Here is a 25,091-nt window from a genome sequence, read left to right as displayed (position 1 = left end):
GCGAGTCTTGTTTGGGCAAAACTTTCTCTCCCACCTCAGTTTCAGAAGTACCATTTTTCCTGCTAAGTACATTCCTGCTTCCTCTAGGAAGAGACATTCTCACCTTTCTGATGTCCCTGGAATGAGGTAGCCTGGGGCAGGAGAGCTGATGAAGGCAGGCGTATGCCCGACAGAGTGGGTGGGTAGAGGTGATAGAAGCAGTGTATTTGAGAGAGCTCACAACTGTCACCGCCACCACACACGCCACCACCCGAGAGCCTCATCCACTTTTATTCCTCAATCGGCACGTGACCCAGGGAGGAGAGAGTGGTAGTGAGAAGAGATTAGAAATGAGGCCATGTAAGTTCGAAGTGAGATCATTTCCTTCTAATCCAGGTGACTGTGACTACAGTGGTATAGATGTATCCGATAAAAGGACTTATCAGTCAGGTTATTGTGCTCATGGAGGCCCAAGTTTGTGGGATTAGGGCCGTGGACTATACCCGAAAGGCATGCTGATAGGTCACAGGGCGTTTAGTGACTCAAAGGTGGGTGGATCAGCCCTCACTTGGAAATACAACTAAAGATCCTAATAGACAATAACCTAGAATGCTTCTTACTAAACCCTGTTGGCCTCATTCTGAGCACTGTAAAACCTCTGCCTTTAATCCCAGTGTGAACATCTGAGGTTCTCAGCCTTCTCATCAAAGCCACCAGCTCAGCTGATTTTCTGATTTACTGAAGCAACCTAGCCTGAAGTTATTGGACCAGAAGGCTTGTGGCCCAACTCGGATTTCAGCTGTGCTACTGAAAAACTATCTTGGCTGGGCGCAATGGTGCACGCCTGTAATCACAGCACTTTGGGAGGTCGAGGCAAGTGAGGTCAGGAGTTTGAGACCAGCCTGGTCAACATAGTGAAACCCCGTCTCTGCTAAAAGTACAAAAAATAGCCGGGTGTGGTGTTGCGTGCTTGTAATCCCAGCTACTCAGGAGGACTGAGGCGGGAGAATCGCTTGAACCTGCAAGGCAGAGGTTGCAGTGAGCTGAGATCGTGCCATTGCACTCCAGCCTGGGCAACAAGAGCAAAACTCCATATCAAAAAAACAAAACAAAACTATCTTATTTCAGGAGATCCTTCCTATCTGTTTTTTCATTTTCCCATTTCTAAAATGAAGTCATCCTAATCTAATCTGCTCTGCCTTCTCTGAGTGACAAATAAGAGCCCTTTCTTCAGAAGAGAGAAATTGCCCAAAGCATTCATCATTCATTCATTCAACCAACTGGTGTGTATTGCACTCCTGTAGTTTCAGCTGACTCTTGCTTGTGGTAGATTATTTCTTCCCATGCTTTGTACTCTTGGATTATAAATTCATCTTTAGCAAGGTTTTATCTGTGGAGCATCCTTGGATGAGGGTATGTCCCCAGGGTATCACTGGCCCACCACACTATTAATTCTAATTTCTTACCTTGGCGGCTTTTGGATCACACAGGTAGTATATTTCACCTCCAAACTCAGAGTGAACCTGAGGTTGCAGATTTTTAGAATAAATGATTTTGTTTTCACCTTGGGTATGGGCTGAGCAGACATCTTCATTTCCCTGTGTTGGTCAGCAAACACTTTCTAGTCTTTTCCTTTCTCTGAGATTGTGGCCTTTCAGAGGTCCTGGTCTTATACAAGGTCTTGGGTTCCACCTCCCAAGGCACCATCTTCTGTTCTCACATGGGCACAAAAACCCTGGCCCATAACTAGTGCCTTTTGGGCTGCTACAGTGTCACTTTACTGCTCTGCCTTTTAGCCTCCCTCTCCCTTTGGGTCCCAGGGGGTTTCCCTTTCTTACTGTGAGCTCAGCTCTTTGCATTTAAAAGAATATTCATTAGATTTCACCCAGCATTTCTAGATGTTTTGTGATGGAAGGATTTTCATGTTGCCATCCCCACCCCATATAAGGTGCTGGACTACATGTTAGAATTCTAAAGATAGGCAAGAAAAGGCCCTAGTGTGAAGGGACTTGCAAGAGTAATGGAAACAACTGACAGTAATGACACAGTGTGGTAGGTGTCAGAGTCCAGCTGCATGGTGAGGCCTATGGGGTCCTGCCATGTTTTTTATTCAGCAGGCTGTGAAAAGCCAAAGTAGGCTTTTCATTTTTCCAGCGAGTGGTGATTCTAGAGTTCATTTGCTTATTCATTATGGAGGCATTTCCTGAGCGCCTGCATGCCAGGCACAGGACTAGACACTGGCACATAAACTATCCCATTCATTTCCAACAATAACTCTGTGAGGGTGGGTATTTTTATTTTGTTTTGCAGATGAGCCAGCTGTGGCTTAGGGAAACTAATTAGCTTGCTCAGAGGAGCAAGACTAATTCGCTTGTCAGACTCATCTTCAGATATGGGTCGTTGGACCTCAGAGCGTGGCCCTTCCTACTCCAGCATGACTCTTCCACAGTAAAGAAACCAGCCAAGCGCCAGGGGTCCCACACAGAGAAGTTCTCTGTTTTCACATTTCCTGTTCCTTCCTCTTTCTGTCAGGTGGGGACTGGATGCATCCCTGACCCCTGGACCGGTCCCAGGGCCCCAGCAGGTCTCACGTCCACATCTCTAAATGGTCTCTCTTCTTGCCCACTGCAGGAAGGATACTTAACAAACCCAAGAAGCCTCTGGGAAGACTACCCGCATGTGCACCTCCCGTGAGTATTCTGTTGACTCAGCCCCAGGGAGGAGCGACCGGGCCCACTGCCTTCCTGTCCCAGCGGAGTGTGGCCAGAACACCACAGGCCCAGCTGGCCTGACGAGCAGATCATGCCCTGAGCCTATTGTGGATGGTAGACTTGTCTGGAAGCCACTTCTTCTCAGCATGCTTGACCAGAGAATCCCCAGATGAAATTCCATCTGTGCTGGCTCCCATCACAGAGGTCCCTCAACTGCATGAGACAGATTCAGAAGCAGAACATCTCTCTCCATAATGCCCTCTGGGTTTCTACCTTCTTGGCGACCCCCTGACATCCACAGAGTGTCTTCCCTTCTGGCCTGCCATGGCTGGTGGTCTGTCAGAGCCAGTGTCCTCTGCCTCATATAGTGCTGCCAAGAGGGCAGTGTACCCCAAGGGCAATACCTGGGGCCATCTCCCTCAGGAGGCCACCCTTTGCCTTTCCCGAGATCTTTGTTTTTTGTCTTTTTTCTGAGATGGAGATTTGCTCTTGTTGCCCAGGGTGGAGTGCAATGGCATGATTTCAGCTCACTGCAACCTCCACCTCCTGGGTTTAAGCGATTCTCCTGCCTCAGCCTCCCAAGTAGCTTGGATTACAGACATGTGCCACCACGCCCAGCTAATTTTTGTATTTTTAGTAGAGATGGGATTTCACCATGTTGGCCAGGCTGGTCTCAAACTCCTGACTTCAGGTGATCCACCTGCCTCAGCCTCCCAAAGTGCTGGGGTTACAGGCGTGAGCCACCACGCCTGGCTGCCTTTCCCGAGATCTTTAAGAGCAATAATAGCAAAGGATGTAGGGCTGAGTTAGAACCTTCCCTTGCTACTTAGAGCTGTTTGTTGTCTCAGTGTATCTGTTGGTCCCTATCTCCAACAGTGCTCTGTAATCAGCTCCCTCCTCAAGGCTGAAGGATTCCTCCTCCTCTGCACTATTTTAATCATGTTTGTTTCTTTCTGTGGACTTTCCGTGTCCTTTAAGTGGTTTTGTATGTGGAACAAGGGCACAGGCCAATGGAGAAGCCAGGGTCCCAGGCTCAGGGTGCGGCGGTCACTGGCCTAACTCCCTTGCTCCTGGACCAGCTCCTCACAGGCAGAGTCTCAGCCCATGCTTTTCCCTCCTGTGCTTGGCCAGCACCTGCAGGGACACTTTTCTCTATCCTGCCCGTGTGACTTGCCCCCTTGTCTCCAGCTTCCAGGTGAAGTTTTTCTACCTATGCCAGCTGGCCTACTGGCTGCACGCACTTCCTGAGCTATACTTCCAGAAGGTACGGAAGGTGAGTGCTCACTTCTCTCCCTTCTTGGAGGCCATTCATTGACCACTCCCCTCCTGCTATTCCCAGGGGTACCTCCCTTCCTTTTCTCCAGAAGCATGGAGTGTTGGGTGGTGATAGGAATATGTTGGGGATTGAGCAACATGCTGAGTCATCTCTTGGAGAAGTGTCATGTAGTTGACCACCAGTGTCAGTCTCTTGCCTGCCTCTTCCACCAGACCTGTGGCTTTGGAGGAAACCTAACTCTCATCTTATAGATGTCAAAGGAGAGGTCTTTGCCATTTCCATAGTCTTTTTTTATTTTTACTTTTTATAGTTTCCTTCTGAATTATTTCCAAGAGCCCTCTTCTCCAGTCCCTGTCTCTTATTTCTCAATCCAAACCTCACCCTCTGACACTAGACCCAAGGCTGCTGGAATTTGGGAATGGACCTGAATGCCCTTGAATTTCAGCAGCCTGGTGCAGTGGGACTGTGGGACTCGTGGGACATGGGACTGTGTGTTAAAGCAGCCCAGAGGAGCCTGGCCCTCTCTCATCCCCCTGCACTTTTCCCCCTTCCCTGAATCTTCAGTTAGGGAATTAGCAAATTTACCATCTGCTTCTCTTGTTTCCAGGAGGAAATTCCCCGCCAGCTCCAGTATATTTGCCTGTACCTGGTGCATATAGCTGGAGCATACCTCTTAAAGTGAGTGAGACCATGGAGCCAGCCAGATTTCCTTGCCCTTTTATGTCCATGCATCTGTCCACACACTCATATAATTATCAGGCATTTGTTGACATCCTCTGTGTGCCTAGCACTATGCTAAGACTTGGCAATACAAAGATGGTAATGGAAGATTCTTTATCTTCAGTGGTTCATTCTCATTCTGAAGAGACAGTTATAGACATAAGTAAGGACAGTTGAGAGTGATGAACACCATAACACAGTATGTATCATCTGCTCTGCAACCCAGAAGAAGACCCTCAACAGAGACAGCCAGGAAGACTTCCAGTGGATGTCGGCCTTTGAACCATGGCTTTGCAGCTTGAAGGCCTCCCAAAGCTGGGCTCTTACCTCACAGTGTCCAATGCAAACACTGCTAGAGCTCGTAGCCCTGGAATTCCCTTCCCTTTGGTTTATAATGACATGGAGAGTAGGTCTCTCTTGGTTGTTCTAGAGGCAGAAAGAATTGCTATAATATTAGTTCTCGAAGAGCCTCTTTTATGAAAAGAATCCTTTTGATGTTAATAAGCTGTGTCATTGATAATTTGGGCTTTTGCTGAGTGTTATCCATGCAGTAAAAGCACCCCACACTTTCTCTAGGCTGGCACTTACAGAGCTCACTGTGTGTAACTTTCTGCCGAGGTGCCTGGAAATCCCGAGGTGCGTTGGACTAGGTCCTTGCAGCAGGCATCCTGTGTGAATGACTGACTTGGATTAGTAAGACTGAGGCAGGGAAGGAGCTCTCAAACTCTGTCTCCTGTCTCTGGTGGCCTGTAGCAGCGTCAGTTCCCGGATGGGTCTTTGAGGGCTGAAGGCTGTGGGGTGATGCCAGCTCTGCCCTTGTGTTGGATGGTCATGTGTCACATGCATAACGGGTCTAAGAAGCCAGTCTGCACTGTCACCGTAGCAGTGGCGAGGACCGGGGAAGAACGTATAAGCAGGGCCACACAGAAGGAGCACTTGCTGCTTCTGCATGTACCTCGGAGCTGTGAAGACTTGGATAATGGAAAGTCAGACAACAGGAACATTTCATATTCCTATACTCAGAGCTCAGCAAATGTGTTCTGAGTACCTTTTATGTACTTGGTTCCAGCCTAGGTGATGAGTGCAAGGTGCTAAGTACTGTGAAGGGCCTATGCGAGGTTTGCTGTGGGAGCAGGCAAGGGCATCTGACTGAGACAGGACAGCTGAACGGCCAGCGGGTCGGTATTAGGAAAAATGTCTTAAAGGTGTGAGAGCTAAACTGAATCCAAAGGATGGAGCAGAGCCAGCCAGGGAAAGTGGGAGTGGAAAGCAGAGCCCAGCCAGGCACAGGGGACAGCCTGAGCCAAGATGCAATGGCTTCTGCTCCACGCAGCATCTTGGAGGGAATGTAAGTCTAGTCTTCCCCACCCCCAGCCTGAGCCGCCTGGGCCTGATCTTGCTGCTGCTGCAGTACTCAACTGAGTTCCTCTTCCACACGGCTAGACTCTTCTACTTTGCAGATGAAAACAACGAGAAACTGTAAGTGGGTCTGCTGCAGGCTGGCCCGCTTAGAGGCCTGGGCAGGGGTTCCCCCGAGGCCCGGATGGTTGGAGGGTCCCTCCCTGGTTGCACACTGCCCGCTTACCTGCAGGTGGTGCCCTCCCGTTATTTTTTTCTGGAACATCTGATTTTAGATATCTCGTCCCTCAAGCACTTTCCCCAGCCACCCTTGAATCCTCTTCCCACTCGGGGTCTCTTCTGGAGAAGTGGGTGAAGATTCCTTCAAGGGCGCTAAAGACTGACATCCCTCTTCTGCCTCTGTGAGCAGGTTCAGTGCCTGGGCTGCTGTTTTTGGGGTTACCCGCCTCTTCATCCTCACCCTTGCCGTGCTGGCCATTGGCTTTGGACTGGCTCGCATGGAAAACCAGGCATTTGATCCCGAGAAAGGGAACTTCAACACTTTGTTTTGCAGGTGAGTCGAGCAGAAGTCCAAGGTGATAAGCCAGGGAGCCTCCTGAACTTGGCACAGCCCTTGCAGAAGGTCTGGAGGCAGCAGACCCTTTAGTCTCCCACATATTGTTATTTTTTGGAAATCTCTGGATATCAGGCCTGAGGGGAGAAGAGATAGCAGCCTCTGGTTCCATCCAAACCATCTTCATCCCCTAGTCCTGGTTTGCTCAGACTGTAGTCCAAATAGGAATCCCTTACATTTGTCTGGCACTTTGTGGTGCACAGAGGCATCACACCCAGTCTCTCAGTTGATATCATTCTCCTCTTCTTGTGTGTGGGTGCTTTAAAACCATGTGCTTAATGGCTTGGCCAGTGGCCTCCTGTGGCAGTGAGGAAGCCACTATTTTCCGGAGCCCCTAGGCCCAGGAGAGTGATTTGTCCAGGGTTGCTCCACTTTTAAGTGACATGTTAAATGAGAAGCCACTCTTCCAGAAATTCAGTTCATTTGAATGCTACCAATATTTGTGGAGCTTACATTAGTCTTGTTCTGTGCAATGGGCGCAAAACAGACACAGCCATGGACCCCTCCCTCGTCATAGGAGTAGCGTGATTGTAGAGCTGGCCGTACGTCTGTCGCCACTTCCTTCCCGTCTCCCTGGCACATGTGATGTATGCTGGAGCAGAGACTGACTGAAGCACACATTCTTCCTGGTGATAGTGGTGGTATCGAAGAGGGCCAGTGGTGAAGGCGGACGTGATAAGCCATGGGAACTGCAGGGCCCCTGGCCCTTGTTCTCCCCTGCACAACCCAGCCCAAGGCTGTGAGCCCAAGCCCCAGCCTAAGCCCCTAACCCCCTGCTCTGCAGGCTCTGCGTGCTGCTGCTGGTGTGTGCCGCCCAGGCCTGGCTCATGTGGCGCTTCATCCACTCCCAGCTGCGGCACTGGCGGGAATACTGGAATGAGCAGAGTGCAAAGCGGAGAGTCCCAGCCACACCCAGACTACCAGCCAGGCTCATCAAGAGGGAATCTGGTGAGTGCCAGGGCCCTTGGCAGAGAGTGGAGCCAGGGAAGTCTGTCTGGGATGGGTGGGAGGAGCCAAGGCACCTGGCTTCTTGGGCGCTGCCCAGACCAATCCTGCCAGCTTCTCCTTCCTGACTCTTACCTCAGGGCTGGGGCTCCTAGCTCCCTGATTGGCACGTGGCTGGGTGTGGGCCAGGGACAGGCTGTGGGTGGGGCTGGCCCTAACTAGGCTGGGAGCCCTGGCCACCACGGGGCAGGGCAGTGGCTGGGTGGGGAACTCTGGCAGGAAGCGTGTCCTCAGGGTGGCTTCTGGACCCCAGCCAAGTGCTGCTACTGCCGCCGCCGCCCATTCTCAGTGCCGGACGGCGGCCTCTGTCCTCACCTGCCCTTTTGCTCCACATCTTAGCCTGCCCCTGCCTCCCAGCTTGCTGGCTCCTCCTCTGTCTCCAAGAATGACTCACAGTGACATAGTGCTAGGTGGGGGGTAGGGGTGGGACACTTATCCTTTGGCCCGTGCACGCACTCCAGTCATCACCCACCTTCAGCAGGTCCTCAGGCCCTGCCAGCCCTGCACGTTCTGCCCAGCCTGGGGGCCTGTCTGCACTGGGCGCTGCTTTCTGACTCACCTGCTTTTCTCTAGGTGGCCACCTGCTTGGCAAAGGCTTATGTGTGTTTGAACCAGACACGCGCGCAGCTGGGTGTGTCACAGAGTCAGGCCTGGCTGGCGGGGGAGGTATGGGGCATAAGACTGCAGCCAGTACCTCTGAATTTGAGCAAGCGCACGGAGGTATTTTGAACAATAGAGCACAATTTTTCTGCCAGAGGAGTGTCAGGCATCCTGCTTGAGGCCTTGTTCCTACAGCCTCTTGTCCCCCTCCCTTCTGTGGCCACTGCTCCTGGGAGTTCTTGCTGAACTGGAAGTGGGCTGATGCCTTGCAGGGGCCTGAGAAGAACTGAGGACAGTGAGCAGTGACAGCATCTAAGTGATTTCGGCGAGTATCTAGCCCCAGCCTCAGGCTTGGGCAGGCTGGCCTCTGTTGTTGCTGAGTTACTGTGTGTCATCCCAGGCCCCTCCTGCTAAAGTGCAGTCAGAGACCAAGCCTCTCAAACAGGGCCACTAGTCCAGGGCCCTGGGGAAGACAGGACCCTCCTGGGAGCCGTCTGCTGGCTTGCATTTGCTGTGCAAGGCTGCAGCCTGGCGCCCCTTTGGTGCATCCATGTATAGCAGCTGGGCTGCCCGGGCCCCTTCCTTGGCCTGGCCCCACCCTCCCCTCTTCTGCCTTAGCTCCAGCAGAAACACCATGTATGCTTGTCTCTCTCCACTTCCCAGGTTACCATGAAAATGGAGTGGTGAAGGCAGAGAACGGAACCTCCCCACGGACTAAGAAACTCAAGTCTCCCTAAGGCCAAAGTGCTAAGAACAGGAATCCTCTTGGTGGGGGCCGAGCAGGGGGCAAGGAGCCCAGGCCCCCTCCCTGCCTCCTCCTTCCTGCCTGTGATGCTCCGTCTCAAACAGCCGAAACCTGTCTTGCAATGGGGGGAGGGGGCGTTTCGCTTTCCTTCTTCTTGGCTTCCTCTTATTCTTCCACAAACCATTCTCAATAAAGCCAAAAATCTTTCTCTTTCTCCCCCTCAGGCCACCTCCTGTCCTCACTCCTGTCCTGTGCTGGCTTTTCTGGAACGCCAGGCGCCCATGGCTGGCACCTTTCTGCTTGCTCTGTCTCTTGCCTTATGGCTGCTGCTTTTCCTTTTTACTTCCTATTTTCACCTTATCTTGCAATTTTTCTGTCTGATTTTTACAATGGGAGGGGAGCTAAGATTGCAGTCCTGTCCTTCGGTCCCCCAGGGCCTGCCGGTCAGAAGCCTGGGGCTGGTAGGCCCTTGGTGGTCCTCATGTGGATGGGCAAGAAGAGAGCGGCCATCTCGGATCATAATCTCCTTGGTGCTGATTAACTGACGAGATATATGATTCCAGTTCTGCATGTACCATCTTGAGGCACAGCAGCCACTGCTCGTTGTAAATGCCAAGGCATTTGGCTTTGGGACGTGACAACTCAATCCAGAAGGATGGTGTGAACTCGGTTGGGTCCCGTGACTCGAGCTCCTACCAGTGGCTGGCCGCGGATTGGAAGCCAGCCTGCTGTCGCTCTGTGGGGGGGGACACGTCTTCCCACTGCTTAGAGCGAGAGCAGAGCAAACTGCGCAGCAGGCACCTCCAGAAAGGTAATGGTGGCAGAACCCACAGTGGAGTCGACCTAGGCCTTTCTCCAGCAGTCCCAGTCGCCATTGCTTTTTCAGCCATTCACAAGCATTCAAAACCAAACCAAACAGCAGTTCATATACCTGCCTGAGATAGGCTGGTCCTCACCTCCAGAGCCAGCCAGCCCCGTCAGGGGCCAAACTTACTACCTTGACTTCATCTCTAGCTGCAGAAACACTAAGTCTCAAGGGCTTCAGCCCCATGCTGGTCCCTTGGTGTTCAGGGAGGGTCACTTGGACCGCTGTTCATCTGGCCGCCCTTGTTGAGTGTTCTTTGGAATTGTCGTTTTTTGAGCACAACTACAGCATTTTAGACTGCATGAAACCATGACTGACTGAGAGTCACTCTCTGGGTAGATGATAGGCGCCTTTCTGGCCCCTTCCCTCACAGATTCTTTCCCCTCCCCTCCACCTGAAGAGAAGGCCTCCAAGTCCTTTTGGTGCCTTGTGAGGACTTTTAGAAGGGGCGTTCAGCTTTAAAAAGCCGGTCCTAATTACGGCCGGACGCAGTAGCTTACGCCTGTTATCCCAGCACTTTGGGAGGTCGAGGTGGGCAGATCACCTGAGGTTAGGAGTTCAAGACCAGCCTGGCCAACATGGTGAAACCCCATCTCTACTAAAAATACAAAAAATTAGGTGTAGTGGCAGGCACCTGTAATCCCAGCTACTCGGGAGGCTGAGGCAGGAGAATCGCTTGAACCTAGAAGGCGGAGGTTGCAGTGAGCGGAGATTGTACCATGGCACTCCAGCCTGGACAACAAGAGCGAAATTCTGTCTAAAAAAACAAAAGTCCCAATTAAGAACCTCCGAACTCTGTTTTGAGGCAAAGGGGAGTAGTTCTTGGTAGGTGCAGGAATAGTAGTGTCATTTGGAATACTGGTCATCTTTCTGACATCACAGTAGAAACCAAACCTTGGATTTAGATTCAAAAGGGGGGAAATGGGTCTTTTCATCAAGGCAACTCCCCTTCTCCAAGTCACTTACATCATAGATAAATTTTAGCTTCCCAGTAACTGAGGGATTTGTTTCCTAACGCCATTGGAGGCCTTCATCCCTCTCTACGATAAGGTTGCAGAAATGGGAAGAGCTACCCGTGGTTGCTTTTGATTACCCTTAGGAAGTGAGACAGTGTTTTTGAAAATATGTATTTCCCCCATTTCTCCCTCTCCTTCCCTGACACTTCTCTGGGCTGCACAGCAGAAACGTTGGTAAAAGGGCAGTTTGGTTTCAACACAGCAGACCTGATATGGGATCCCTTAGCCACTTTAGTCAAACAGCCCTGACAGAGTCTATAATTGAGTTCAGGCCCCCCACCTTGCCTAATAACTGCAAATCGCATGTTCAGCCAGCAGCCTCCTAAGCCCACCTTCCTCCCCCATTAGAGAACACCCATCCTAGGTGCTCTCCAGGCTGTGTCATTGGCAGGGCTTCACATGCAGGAGGCCTCTCTCAGGTGAGTCCAGGTTAAACTGTTGAGTTGTGGCTTCAACAGATATGTATGGCATGCTGGGATGTGCCAGGTGCCTGCGTTGTGCCAGTTGCTGGAGAGGTAGTGTGAGCAGAGCAGCTGAAATCTTGCCATCAAGCAACCCTCATTCTCATGCCTGTAGGTTTCCATTGCTCTGTCCCAGGACACTTGCGTGCCAGAGACGCCACAACTTCATGTCCCTGTCTCTTGCAAGCTCCCCGTGCTGCCAGTACTTCATGCCTTGGATGTGGTCCCACCAGCCCAGTGGCCGGGGTCAGCTTAGGCTCTGCTTCCCAGTGGACGGGTGTGCTAAGGGTTTATTTTATGTAAAAAAAAAAAAAAAAACAAAAAAAAACCCTGAGACCATGAGTGGGGCTGGCATCTTGCCAGCCTGGGCTTCAGGGATGTTTGGGGGGGGTGGTTAGAGGGTAGTTGTAGGGTACTTTGTCACCCCCCTCCCCCTGCCACCCTCCCTGGCACGTTTATTTCACAGCAGAGCCAAGTCTGTGGCAGGTTGACACAGACTGTGTTGCCAGAGCTGAAATAATTCCACTTCATCCTATGAGCGTGTTGGGCTAGCTTGTTCTAATTTTGGCCACTTTGGCTGTTTTCTTCAGTTTTATGCATTCTCTCCTGCCCCAAAGTGCCAAGCCATTTGTGAAGGCTCTGCCAGACACCTCCAAGCTTGAGAGCTCAGCACCATGCACCAAGAGCAGGAGAAAAGACGTAAACCTACCCCAGCAACTGTGGCCTCTCGACAGCCCTGGCTAACTAACTTACATTTGTGGGGAAGCCAACAGACACAGCAGGAGGAGAGGGAGGTGGCGCTGGTGGACCAAGGATCTGTGCTACCCGCTCCCCTCCTTGGAGGTGCAGTGATGATGGGAGTTATTTTTACCATCCGGGCGCTGATAGCTGCACTATTAATAAATTGCATGTGTTCCTTTTGAAGGTAGGGGATGGTTCTGGGTGAGAGGGGAGCAGGCTGAGCCGGCGGGGGATCTGCTGTCCTCCCTTTTGAGTCAGTTCTAATCCCATGTGTGTCTGGGCCACCAGACCGAAATGGTTGCTGAGAAACTTGTCTGTTCATGTCCCAAGGCATAACTTCCCAACATTTAAGAAACCCCAATAGACACCTCTGCCCTGGCCACGTTCACAGATCCTTCTCTTGACCGGAAACCCTGGGACCCTAAGAACCCCTGAAGCTTGGGGTGGGTGTGTGCTTCTGGGGTCTCTTTTGGGACCTCCTTTGTCAGTACCCCTTCTTTTTTCTAAGCAGCTAATAAGAGGTTGGGTGAAAGAGTGCATCTCCTCCCAGGATTCCACAACAAAATTCTTATCTTCCATGGATGCTTTAATTGGAAGTGGGTTGCCGACCCCCTTGTGCCTAGAAAAGGCCTTCGCTTGGGTTTCCTTTGTATGCTTCAGCCTTCCTAGTTGGTTTTTCTAGGCCTGGTGTGAGAGGTAGGGAAGTCTGCACATAACTAATTCTTTTGCTTAAGGGCCTATGGCACAAGTGCACAAACTTCAATTCTTGATGTTCTAAGCTCTCTCCTCTAACAGAGGGAGTGCTGAAAGCTTTTGAGTCAAGACAATGGAGTGCTCTTCCTCCCTCACTCTGCCTTCCGAGCTTATGGTTCCTTTTCTCAGGAGAGGATTTTCAGGATTATTGGAGGATTAGGTCATTGTCAGATGACTGGAAAACCTAAATAGGATCTCTCTCCAGCTCAAGGTTGTCCCAGTGAGGAAGACTTTACCAACTTCTCACTCTACCCCACTACTCACATGAGTGTTAGCTCCACCTTGCAAAGGCTGAAGACCAGTTCTCCCCAGTGAAAGCTGCCTCATTCTTTTATGGAGTTCCCTGGAGTGGCAGAGCTATAAAGACGAGCATTGGGATTTGCAGTCTCCATGTAGCCTTTCGTGCTTGGCAACCCCTGTAGACTTTTTGTCCCAAGCAGATTGCGTGCGTGCGCCTGTGTGTGAGAATAAGTGCCTTACTTTGCTGTGTGGTTTTCAACTTGTACTCCGTGGCCAGCCCCCAGTTGCCAGGGCTCGACGGCAGCCAAGGACACCATACCTCAGTATAGTTATATATAAAAGGGACACGGATTGTGACAGTTTCACCCCATTTGTTTCTAACCCCGCTGCCCAGGATTAGGGTCTGTGGTGTGTTCTGTTTTGTTTTTGGTTTCTCCCTTGTGTCAGTTCTCTTCTGGCCCAGCTGGGTGGCTGTGGAAGTCTGTGAGGTGGCCCAACCACAAGCATACCTATTAAGAGAAGCCCAGAGCTTCCAGCCCCCACTTCGAAAACTCTCCTCTGGCCCCACATAGCAAACTCCTTCTCCGTTATTTTCCCCACCCCCAGATTTTTTTTAAAAGGCCCACTTGCCGTAACCTCTTTTGGTCTATTTTGCTTCCCATTCAGCCCAAAGTTTATATGATAAAGGTGTTTACTTTTACTTCCCAGTCTCCAAGTGCTAACACATAAACACATACATGTCTGACTGTTGCAGAACTGTTCGAGCTCCTAATTCAGTGTTACCTTGTTTTAGTCGCAGCAACCCTCTCCCCTACCCCTTGCCCGCCCACGTTTTTCTCACTCTTCCGGGTTGTGCAATAACTCTCCCAGCCAGTGGTCCTTTCCACAGCCTTTCTGTCCCTTAAAACACCTGCAACTGGGGGAGAAATGGGACCCATGGGAGGGGGAGTCGTCATCCCTTACACAAGAAATAGCCACTTTCCTTTTGTTGTCATTCTTGTGATCCTGGGTGGGTTTCTGTGGCACTCTTTTAGAACATGTAGCATCATCTTAGAGGTCTATTTTTAAAAAATGTGTTGAAGAGGAAAAAACCATTCTCACGATGGGGCTTAAGTCATTGTCCAGGAATAAGATTGGCGTGGTGCCCATGACATCACCGTCACTCTGCCTAAAAGCACTCTAGAGCTACTTGTTCACGTGGAGAGGAAGGATATTTTGCGAAGCAACAGCCGCAGGTGGAGAGCCCTGTTCACCTGATAGGGTCTAGCTGTGACAGTAAATATAATACCGCTGTTTCCTTGGGTACAGATTTGAGTGTTCATGTGATGAGACTGTAAACCTCATTTTTCGGTTCCTCTGTTTAAAAAAACATCTGAAGGATGAACTAAGGCTGCTGGTGCCCTGAGCAACTGATAATGCAAATGTGGACAAAGTGTCTGTTTTCTACTCTAGCCTGTTCATATGGACCAAATTTCAACAAGGAACTCAAGGAAAATTTGTACCTGCCGTATTTATGCTTTCATGTAAAAAAGGGTTGGGGGGAGGGGTGTCTTTTTGCTTTTGGTGAACTTTTTTTCAAAATCATTTTTCCACTGTTTCTGTCTGGTTTTAAAACAAATTACAGTTTTGTATGGATTTTTTAAATGTACATTTTGGAACAAATGATCAAATATTTTCTGAAATAACAATAAAAGGCAGAAAATTATCAGAATTGTCTCATAATTATTTCCTTGACGTGCTTTTATACAGTGATGCTTTTAACGTGGATGTTTACGTTTGCTTAAAGGAGTTTGCAATGAATTTTAGCCCTCATGTCTATTATTTTTCACTATATTAGTCATTTCTTATATATTTTGACCCGTATTTGTCCATTGTGATATGAATTAGGGAATTAAGGATGGAGAGTCAGTTATGTCAAGTGCTGGATAGCAATAAGCATCATTTTTATTTGACTCTTTAATAGTAAAGTGGAAAAGAGGTTTTCTTAACATGGGGTTTGTGGGTAGGAAGCTCCAGAAACAAGCACATCATCCTTGATGCCTACTATACTATGATGTTATTTAGCTTGGAGGAAATGGGGTTTCGTTTGTGTAAAGGCCAACAAATATGTTGGTGCTGACTAGAAGACATCCAAGTATTAGTAATAGTGGGGATTGCTGGTGTCACTTACATGGCTGCTGTTGGCTGTAGCTGCTTGCTGTGTTTACCAGAACCATCTTTCTTTGGAAAAAGATCTCAAAAGATGAGTGCAGTTACAGGTGGCAGTTAGTCAAGGACACCCATGGGGTGTGAGAAAGAGGAAATGTTTGCTTGAGGTGAAGGTGAGTGGTTCTGATGCATGGCAAGCTTCATTGTAGAGTTGGGTCCTGCTCTGCCATGAGAAGCTAGGTGAACTCAAGCAGTTAACCCTTCCGAGTCTTTTTGTGCATCTGTGTCAAAAGGGTTTCATGTTTTGTGGGGAGTCATGGTGAGAGATTTAGAGATACTGAATGCTAAGTTCATGGTACATATAAAGCACTCATATTGGCTTTTTAAAATGAACTTATGTGCCAGCAGGATACTCAGGAGTCACTTAACCAAGTGGATTCTCTGGACAACATTTAGAGACGTCTTCTCTACCTATGTGTCCCAAATACCCTCAAAGCCTATAGATATGGATTTGATACACCTTAATTGGATGGTATTTTCAAGGCCCCCTGATGGTGCAGACAAGGTACAGGCCCAGGTTTCTGAGTAGTGGCTAACTCACAGCCCATCTTTACCCGCAAGGCAGATTTTTATTAGTCCCAAAGCCGTAAGCACTATAAGCAGTCTTAGTCAAATGCTTCAGTTAGACCTGATAGCTTCAGCTACCAGTGCTAATCTTAATAATTCTCATTCTCTCTTTGTGTGTGTGTGTGTGTGGGTGTGTGTGTGTATTAGAATCTTTCAACTCCCTGGTGGCCAGTTTGAAGTGATGATCATTTCTGCTTCCTACAATATTGCTTGCTACAGGGTAATGCTCAGCTCCCTTCCACCACCTGAACCTGACACTCCAGATGCATGCCAGCTATGACTGTAGCATAAGGTAATTAGTGACATCTAATGGCTGCACTGCCATTCAGGATTTTAGTAGAAAAAGTGATTTGCTCTGACGTTTGTGGCTCCTATACTTGCTGCTTTGTATAAACAGGTGAGCAGCGAGTGTTTGGACACCACAGAAATGGCCTGCTGGCTTTGGTCTTTCATGAAATCTCTTTTATACCTTGTGTTGGTGCTGTCAGATCTCAGCTTCTCAGTCTTAAGTAAACTTAAAAGGAGATGCAAGGCAAGAAGTGGACAGCAAACTTAAGGAGTGTATGTGGACAGTGCCAACTTTATTGAAGACAGTTCCCTCTGAGACTACAGGCCTAGCTACTCAGAAGGCTGAGGCAGGAGGATTGCATGAGCCCAGGAGTTTGAGGCTGCAGTGAGCTATGGTCACACCACCGCATTCCAGTCTGGCAACAGAGTAAGACCCTGTCTCTAAAAAACAAACACAAAAACAAAACAAAACAGCCAAAAGCAGGCTAGAGGATGCTAAATGAGACTTTCCTAAATCTCCATTTTGGCTGAGACCCAAAGCTGAGGACAAAAATTGGCAAATATATCCATATGTTGCAGATTTGCTGCCGATCCATGAATGATTTGTTAAGGAGTAGCCCAAAGCTCCTCTACCACAGGAGGCAAGAGTGATGGAGAAAATATCAGAAAGTGCAAGCTTCTTGAAAGGGGCTGGAGTGCCTTGGGTCTGCAAGCTAAGTGAGGGTATACTTTAAAAGACTCAGGGTTTGACATGTGTCTGTCCCCTGGAGTTTGGAGAGCATAAGATTTGGGGTACCTGGTTCTCCCCTGAAACAGTCTAAAGGAAAGGGATTGAGCTGCCTAATTACACAGCCAAGAGAGCCATCTGGGTGAGAACATGGCGAGAGTGCACACCCTGGAAGGTGTGTCAGCCTGAAAGGGCCTCCTGGGAAGATCAGAAGGAGCCTTGGAGACCATACCATTAGAGCCGGGGTGATCAGGTACAGACTGGGTCCCGTCCATCTGAGAGTGGTGCACTGGGCAGTTTCCGGTTGGAAAGAGTTCTAAGAACTCACCAAAACGGGGCTCTGAGCAAAGGACATGGAATCAACCTAGGTGCCAATCAATGGTGGATTAGATTTTTTAAATGAAGTATATCTACACCATGGAATACTACGCAGCCATAAAAAATGAAATCATGTATTCTGCAGCAACATGGATGCAGCTGGAGGCCATTATCCTAAAGTGAATTGATGCAGGAATAGGAAACCAAATATTGCATGTTCTTACTTCTAAGTGGGAGCTAAACATTGAATACACATAGACATAATGATGGGAACAATAGACACTGGGGACTACCAGAGTGGGAAGGGAAGGAGGGGGTATGTGTGGAAAAACTACTTACTGGGCACTATGCTCACTACCTGGGTGCAATATACTCATGTAACAAACCTGCACATGTACCCCCTGAATCCAAAAAGAGAGAAAAGGTGCTCTGGGAGAAAGAGTCAGCCTTTCGGCACATGTCACTCAGACCTGGCCCCACATTACGACATTACTAGCCACAGAAATAAGACTTTGCCCTTTTTCTCTGGTTTCTACCCGCTTAACCTTTCCCAGAGCCTACATGGGCTAGAAACAGCAGCATGGCTGAATAGGAACAAAGGGAGCAGAAGACAGAAAGAAGGGAGTAAGAAGAAACCACTATCATCACCCCAGTATACACACACTCTTTACCACAGGCTTCTAAGCCTGGGGGAAGGACTGAGCTGGGCCAAGTAGGATAGAGCTTGGTAATTTTTAAGCTGAAAAAACTTCTAAAATACAGATAGTCCCCAACTTTCAATGGTCCAACTTATTTGCCTACTTTACAATGGGCTTATCAGGGTTATTAAATGTGTTTTCAACTTGTGATATTTTTTACTTACGTGAGTTTATTGAGACATAGCCCCATAAGTAGAGGAGCATCTGTACTTGAAAGAGATACTGTTTTAAATAGTTATGAGCGACTGAGGGTAAAACAAAACAAAACATGGGTTATTCCCAAGATAATAACCTGGAACAGAAAAGGAATCAACATAATACATTCACAGCCCTTTCAATAAGCTGGTTACAAGTGGCTGAGCTCGTTAGGGAAGGAAACACCAAGGGAAGTTCCCTAGAAGTTCTGAGAGGGCAAAGCAGTCTGAATTCTGTGTAACTCTATCCTCATTCATACCACATTTTGGGTGGCTTCGGGGAATTTGAGATAGCATGTTTAAAGATGAACTTAGTGGCTGACTTCAACCAAAGAGAAGCCCTGTTTGTAAAAAGCCAGTCAGAGCTCACCAGAGAATAGTAACTGCAACTAGTCTTTCCTTCCTCTCTCAAGGCCAGGCTCTCTAAAAGCAGCATTTTTCTAACCTTTTTTTTTTTGAGATGGAGTCTTGCTCTGTCACCCAGGCTGGATGGAGTGCAGTGGCGTGGTCTTGGCTCACTGCAACCTCTGCCTCCAGGGTTCAAGTGATTCTCCCATTTAAGCCTCCCGAGTGGCTGGGACTACAGGCACACGCCACCACACCTGGCTAATTTTTCTATTTTTAGTAGAGATGTGTGCACATATATGTATATACATAATATATATACACATATACATACTATATGTATACATATAAGCGTGTGTGTGTATGAATGTGTACATATAAAATATATATATATATATATATGTAGAGAGAGAGAAAGAGAGAGTTATAAGAAATTGCTCACACAATTATGAAGGCTTACAAGTCCCAAGATCTGCAGGGTAAATTGGCAAGCTGGAGACCCAGGAGAGCTAAAGGTATAATTCCAGTCTGAATCCAAAGGCCTATGACTTAGGAGAGCTGATGGTTTAGGTCCAGTCTGAAGGTCAGCAGGCTCCAGACCAACAGCTGATGTTTCCATTTGTGTCTGAAGGCAAGAAAAGGCTGATGTTCCAATTTGAAGCCAGTCAGGCAGGAGGAATTCTCTTACCTGGGGAAAGGTCAGCCTTTTTATTCTACTCATGTCTTCAAATGATTGGAGGAGGCCCACCCACATTAGGGAGGACTATCTGTTTTACTTAGTCTTCTGATTCAAATGTTTATCTCATCGAAAAATACCTTCAGAGAAACCCCCAGAATAATGAAATATCTGAGGCTGGGCACAGTGGCTCATGCCTATAATCCCAGCACTTTTGGAGGCTGAGGTGGGAGAATTTCTGGAGCTCATGAGTTTGAGACAAGTTCAGGCAACCTAGCAAGACCTTGTCTCTACAAAATAATTTTAAAAATTAGCTGGGCATGGTGGCTTGAGCCTGTTGTCCCAGCTACTGGGGAGGTTGAAGTGGGAGGATCACTTGAGCCCAGGAGTCTGAGGCTTCATAGAACTAGGATAGTGCCACCACACTCCAGCCTGTATGACAGAGTGAGATCCCATCTCTAAAAAAATTTATTTTTTTAAAAAGAAAGAAAGGAAATATTTGGGCCCCCTGTGGCCAAGTCAATTTGACACACAAAATTAGACATTGCTATACCCCTATCACCCTAAATAAGGCACCAATCTTAGATCCTATTAGATCCAATTTAGTTTCGACTTCAGTAGGAGTGAAAGAAGAACCAAAACAGAAATAAAACTTCAGGAACCCTGTAAATGCCTCTATGAAGAGTGTAAGGTGTATTTCAAAGCATAGTTCCAGTATCAAAAATTGTCTTGCATTTTCTCATCAGCAGGTCAGTTTGAGAAAGCACGAACAAAGTTATAGTAGTTAATTTTGCCTTCTCCATGAGAGCACATCCTGATTAACTGCAGAGAGAGCAAAGAGAATAGGTGAGACAGATCTGCAGGGCTTCCGTCAGCTCAACTGCAGAGTGCGCTTATGCATAATGATCCCGAGCCTTTGTAAATCAGTTCAGAATTTTTGTATCCTCAAGTTGATTCTGAAATGATCCTGTGAACCTGGCAGGTAGGACAGACATTATCCCCATCTTACACTTAATGAAACCAAAGCTGGATGGAGTAAATGACCTTCCCTGTTGAAGGCCGAAAGAATGAGCGTCATGATCAACTCAGTATACCACTGGAGGCTCTATGAGTAAACAGTAAACTGTTTCTCATGAAAGCAGGATGTTGGCAAACTGACAAACTGCGTCTGCTGCCCAGAAGGAACGCTGAAGGCAGTCACGACCCAGGCACAAGTGTTTCTTGTGATTAGACACATCTGAAGCCTGTTAGCAATAATGTGAACCTGTGATCAATTAATCCCTGCTCTTTCTACCCAATAAATATGAAGGGCTGTAGCAGCTCGGGCGGTTGCCTTTGCTCACTAGAAGCAGGGAGCTCTCTTCTTTCCCTTCCTTTAAAATAGTTACTTTTGTTTTAAGTTTTCATTTCTGCTTTCATCTTCCTTCGTTAACTCTCGTAATGACGGTCTCAAGTAGTAACAGTAGTAATTGTCGTAGAGATGTCTCAAGTAACCGTGGCAGTCTGCCACATTTCCCAAGATTTCAGAACTAACATCCATATTTATAAAAGCACTTTTAGTTGTTTTTATATTCAAATAAAAGACTGTCCACTCAGCTCATGAGGAGTAAGACTTTTTAAATAGCAGGCTCTTGCTACCACAGCCTAACGGAAGGGTCTGGTTATGCCACTGCTCAACCTGTGTCCCTTAAAACTCGACTGTGACTGGTAACAGACTGATTTTCTGTGGTTATTTTTATAAGATGTGCAAATCTGTCCCACCCCCACTTCCCTGCTCCACTTGCCAATGACTGCCATCCCTCTCTCCCATGTCAGTTCCCACATCAGACAGTATGAAGAATTTGAAAATCAAAAGTTGGGCATGCTGTCAACCTAAAATTTGGGGAGCTAAATGTGTGTTTGGTCCACATGAACAAATACTCTTCTATCTGCCCTCCTACTCACTCCCTGCTAATGTTTCTGTCTATGAAAAATCCTCATCTCCAACCTAGTCACTAGCCCTAAACCAAACCCTTTCCTAAATGACTCTTAAATTCTGAACACCTGTTTTGGCTAAAAGATCTTTAAAAAGGCCTCAGAATCTCAATATTTTTAATCAGTAAGAATGTCTCAATGATCATAAGCCACAGTCCTTGGCATTTCTCAGGGGGACTTTGTTCTGACTTCCAAGGGAACCCTGGCTAAAGGGTTTATAATGAAGAAAAGGCATGAAAGTCCCCCTTCAACTCACTTATGAAAATTCAAGGAAGAAAACTTCCATGCCCTTCCTCCATCAGCTGCTGGCCATGCTACCACTACTGACAGATGCCACAGCCCTCCTGCAGTGGTCATGCCTTCTTTCATGCTAACCCTACTGATGGGCCAGTGTAGGTATCAGCTGTGAAGGGTATCAAAGGCTGCCAACCAGTCTGCTCTATCAACTTATCTTTGAGTCTCCCCTTGGTAGCCACCCCTCCTGGATCGTCTCTGTTGCCCTTCTTCAGTCCTGACATGTTGGTCTACTAACCACTCTGTGTTGTCCAGCCCCAGGCCCACTTAAAGAGATGCCCTGCAACAGCAATTAGAAAAGAATACCAATGCTAGAATCAACGGGCAATACCTAATCAGGACAGAATAGTAGATCTGATCTGAACATCCTAAATCTGGCCCAGTTGTAGTGAAATACACACACAATTGCCTTTAGAAAAGAATGATCAGTGCCTAGCCTCTGCAATGAACTCAGAAGAGTAATTCATACTGACCTCCTTAACCAAGGAGTCATCCACTGGGACGTTAAGCGATTCACAGATTTTAAAGAACATGTCTCTGTCCACATATCCTGAAGCTTCCTTGTCATAAATTTGAAATGCCTCACGAATGTTGTCTTTGCATGAGTGATCTTTCAGTTGCTTCTGAATTGTGTCTATTAATGCTTCCAATTCCTGCACGCCTGGATCCTTTTCAGTTTGCTTGCTGTAGAGAAAGGAAGGAAATGACTGCACATGGTATTTATTCTTGATCAGTCTCATCTCGGTGACCAAAGTTCTTACTTGATGAAATCAGGGAAGCTTCTAATCACAGCTTTGAGACTGAGCTGACCAATAACTGAACACTTGCCCACAGGCCGATAGCTGACCTCCACATCAGGAAGGCCCGACTGGGGGCAGTTTTTGAATTTCCTCCCTTCTTGCTCAGCCTCCTTTCCTGCCATCTGTTAATCACTGCATCACAAGGAGGCAAATCTAATACCACCACCATGCCAAATTTGGTATCTGTGAGAATCACATCATTGTCTCTTACTACTGTTGCAGATTAATGTTTCCTCATCTACAACTAAATGCCTGAGTGATATATATAAAGAGAGATGATAGATATAAATATATAGCTATAGATCTGTAGCCAAGAATCAACCTTTTATAGTTTTAATATTATTCCCTCTCCAATTCACACTGAATTTTGTGAAAGGTTATCTATGGAAGCTAAGAGATTGCTCTGTGAGGTAGAGTGAGAAGTTTGGGCTTAGCATTTACTGAAATTAAGAGAGAATAGTAACACAGGGTGTTGGGAAGAGAGAGGTCTAACCCTTCAAAAAACAACCACAATAAGTAGAGGCTCAATTTTTATTTCCTCTGAACATGAAGGTACAGTTATAAAATTAAAAATTTTAGAGCTGAAAGATTCCCTCATATTTCATCTTCATAAATCCTTTTAGAACAAAATGGGCCACATAAAGTCAGTAAGCATTCTTCCCTCTTTCAGTGATGAGAAAACACATTTGAAGACCCGAGTGACTGATCCCAGATCCCATGTCAGCGGCAAAACTAGCACTCACATCCCACTCCAGTTCCAACATATTCTCTCAATTATGCCCAGTCACCTCTCACTGAATTCCTCTCCTTCCGTAACTTGAAAACTATCAATCTACCATTGCTTTTCTGTATTTACTTTTCTTGCGTATAATATTTTTAAAGTTCACTGTTGCAAATAGCCTCTGTTTAACTTATTTCCCTCTTTTACCTGCTGGCAAGTCTTGCTGGGGAAGGTATAAAGTGGAATAACCTTTCAGGAAAAATTTGGAAACATGAAGCAAAAGTCCAGCAAATAATCTCAAATAATTTATCCTAAGGAAATAATCATGGGTTGTATGCAAAGATACATCTATAAGATTGTTTTGAGATAGTCTAAATGTCCAAAAATAGGGAATTAAATAATTTACACTACAATAAAGCAACAGAATAATACTGCAGCCATTGACAATGCTGCAGAAAGAGTATAAAGATATTTTTAGTGAGAAACTCAAGACATAAAAGTATGTATAGAGTGTTACCTTGTGTTATAAAAGTTGTGGGGGAATAAGAGTATATACTTAAAGTTGCTTATATTATTTAAAGAAACTCTGAAAAGATATTCAAAAAAATAAATGAAAGAGGTAGTTACCTATGGGGAGTGGAGGGTAAGAAGTGGGTACATGAAAGATGGGGTAGGAACAAAGCTTTTCCTTGGTCCCTTCATATCTGTGTCTTCAAATATTTCATTTCACAAGGGTTCATGATAGACTATCAAGTGAAAAAAGCAAAATAGTATTACAGAATTTTCCACTTTATATGCATCTTTAAAAACAAAATATTAGAAGCAGTTATCTCTGAGTTATAAGATTTTCAAAAATTTTTGTTTATTTCCATTTCTATTACCTAGATTTTTATTCCCTAAATTTTCAAATTCTGGTCATGTGTTACTTTTGTAGTAAGCCAAGAACAATAAAAATTGTTGTAATAATCCCCAATATCTAAATGCTCTCTGGCATTATTAATTATAGAAGCAGAATGTGTTTATCTGATGAATGTAATTCAAATCATATATACTAAATTATGAATGACCACCAGGGAGCTATTTTAGTGGCAGAAAGCAGTCAAACCTCAATCTTGCATGTGTTTCCAAGAACTAGAGCCATGAAACATATAAAGTTAAAATGTGATCATCCAATCATTTGGGGAAAGAGACAATAACTCTCCCTTTCCCAAAGAAGCCAGATTCCCATTCCCCTTTATACAGCAGGAAAAATACCCATGGCATCTGCTGCCTTTGAGCAAGATGGAGTAAATTCACAGATAGATGGCAATAGGTGGTACTGTTTAAGGAAGAGCTAGTTAAAGTTACAGCCCCTACTTTATTGCCAAAGCCCAAGTCAGGGCACACTCTGGAAAAGAGCTGCAAGTTACAGGGCAAGGTTTGCTCACATGGCTCAACAAGAAAACAGAGGGGCCAGCTGGTTATGTCCAACAGGGACTGCCAACTGAGAGGTGGCCGGAGGTCCTAACATGCTAGTTGAACTCTGTGCCAAGCCCTCCAATGACCTTCCATAACTTCCATAAAAGTGAACGTGTTTTATAGAGTGGCTAATCTTCCAGAGGTAAGAGGGATGTCACAGTTTTCTGTGTGCTCTTAGAATATTTTGCTATGAGCATCCTGGCAAAGTCCTCCACTTAGAAAATGAGACAGATAAGCAAAAAGAAGGAATAAGGAAGAGCAGGTGTGCTAGAAAGATGAAAATGACAATGGCTTCATTTTTAGTTGTACAAAGTGGGAGATGCTGGTGGCTCAGATGGACAAAGACATGTTGAAAATAGATTCAGCAGAATGGAGAGCAATTCAGATACTGCAATGTCTAGAAAGTTTAGAGAAGGCAAGCAAAAGGACCAAAAACAGGACCTTGAGAAATGCCAACCTAGTAGACGGAAGTAGGAAAGACACACACAATAGGCTTTAAGAGAGGTAGGACTACCAGAAACTTTGAATTTCCAGAACTCAAGAGAGGATTTCAAAAGAGGGGTAATAAAGAGTAATCAATATTATATGTAGATCAGAAAAACTAAAGACTATACCAAGGGGTCAGCAAACTATGACACCCAGGCCAAAGCCAACCTGCTGCCTATTTTTTATACATAAAATTTTATTGAAATATAGCCACTCCTATTCATTTATGTATTGTTTACGGCTGCTTTCACGC

General features: G+C 46.7%; 2 protein-coding genes across 5 annotated transcripts in view, besides 3 other annotated features; one reads left to right on the top strand and one right to left on the bottom strand.

Annotated features, from left to right (window-relative positions):
- The window catches only part of TRAM2 (translocation associated membrane protein 2), a 79,653-nt gene extending 64,864 nt beyond the window's left edge, over window positions 1-14,789 (top strand). For both annotated transcript variants that reach the window (NM_012288.4, XM_011515005.3), the window contains 7 exons: window positions 2,611-2,669; window positions 3,879-3,963; window positions 4,574-4,644; window positions 6,061-6,165; window positions 6,455-6,598; window positions 7,443-7,606; window positions 8,927-14,789. In NM_012288.4, coding sequence (NP_036420.1) covers window positions 2,611-2,669; window positions 3,879-3,963; window positions 4,574-4,644; window positions 6,061-6,165; window positions 6,455-6,598; window positions 7,443-7,606; window positions 8,927-9,000 — 702 coding nt within the window. In that variant the 3' untranslated portion in view covers window positions 9,001-14,789. The remainder of the gene's footprint in view (window positions 1-2,610; window positions 2,670-3,878; window positions 3,964-4,573; window positions 4,645-6,060; window positions 6,166-6,454; window positions 6,599-7,442; window positions 7,607-8,926) is intronic.
- Window positions 7,232-8,431: an enhancer, noted in NCBI's record as "P300/CBP strongly-dependent group 1 enhancer chr6:52368564-52369763 (GRCh37/hg19 assembly coordinates)". NCBI's record gives its function as "activates an origin of replication core promoter dependent on BRD2, BRD4, P300/CBP, MED14 and CDK7 cofactors, with strong dependence on P300/CBP, by STARR-seq in HCT116 cells {active_cell/tissue: HCT116}" and the evidence as "EXISTENCE:reporter gene assay evidence [ECO:0000049][PMID:35650434]".
- Window positions 13,049-13,098: an enhancer, noted in NCBI's record as "active region_24679". NCBI's record gives its function as "activates an Ori minimal core promoter by ATAC-STARR-seq in GM12878 lymphoblastoid cells {active_cell/tissue: GM12878}" and the evidence as "EXISTENCE:reporter gene assay evidence [ECO:0000049][PMID:35858748]".
- Window positions 14,182-14,383: a silencer, noted in NCBI's record as "fragment chr6:52362612-52362813 (GRCh37/hg19 assembly coordinates)". NCBI's record gives its function as "represses an EF-1alpha promoter that drives an FKBP-Casp9 reporter gene in an ReSE screen in phorbol 12-myristate 13-acetate-treated (for megakaryocytic differentiation) K562 erythroleukemia cells {active_cell/tissue: K562(+PMA)}" and the evidence as "EXISTENCE:reporter gene assay evidence [ECO:0000049][PMID:32094911]".
- Window positions 14,999-25,091, bottom strand: part of EFHC1 (EF-hand domain containing 1) — a 76,857-nt gene continuing 66,764 nt past the window's right edge. For all 3 annotated transcript variants that reach the window (NR_033327.2, NM_018100.4, NM_001172420.2), the window contains 2 exons: window positions 21,847-22,057; window positions 14,999-19,927 (listed from right to left, as the gene is read on the bottom strand). Coding sequence is in view for 2 of the 3 variants with exons in the window: in NM_018100.4 (NP_060570.2) it covers window positions 19,856-19,927; window positions 21,847-22,057 (283 nt within the window). In the remaining variant the exon portion in view is untranslated. The remainder of the gene's footprint in view (window positions 19,928-21,846; window positions 22,058-25,091) is intronic.

Source organism: Homo sapiens, chromosome 6 (assembly GCF_000001405.40).
Source record: "Homo sapiens chromosome 6, GRCh38.p14 Primary Assembly".
NCBI classification, from domain to species: domain Eukaryota; kingdom Metazoa; phylum Chordata; class Mammalia; order Primates; family Hominidae; genus Homo; species Homo sapiens.
Note: the sequence above shows the minus strand (reverse complement) of the source record. Positions and strands in the feature narration are given on the sequence as shown.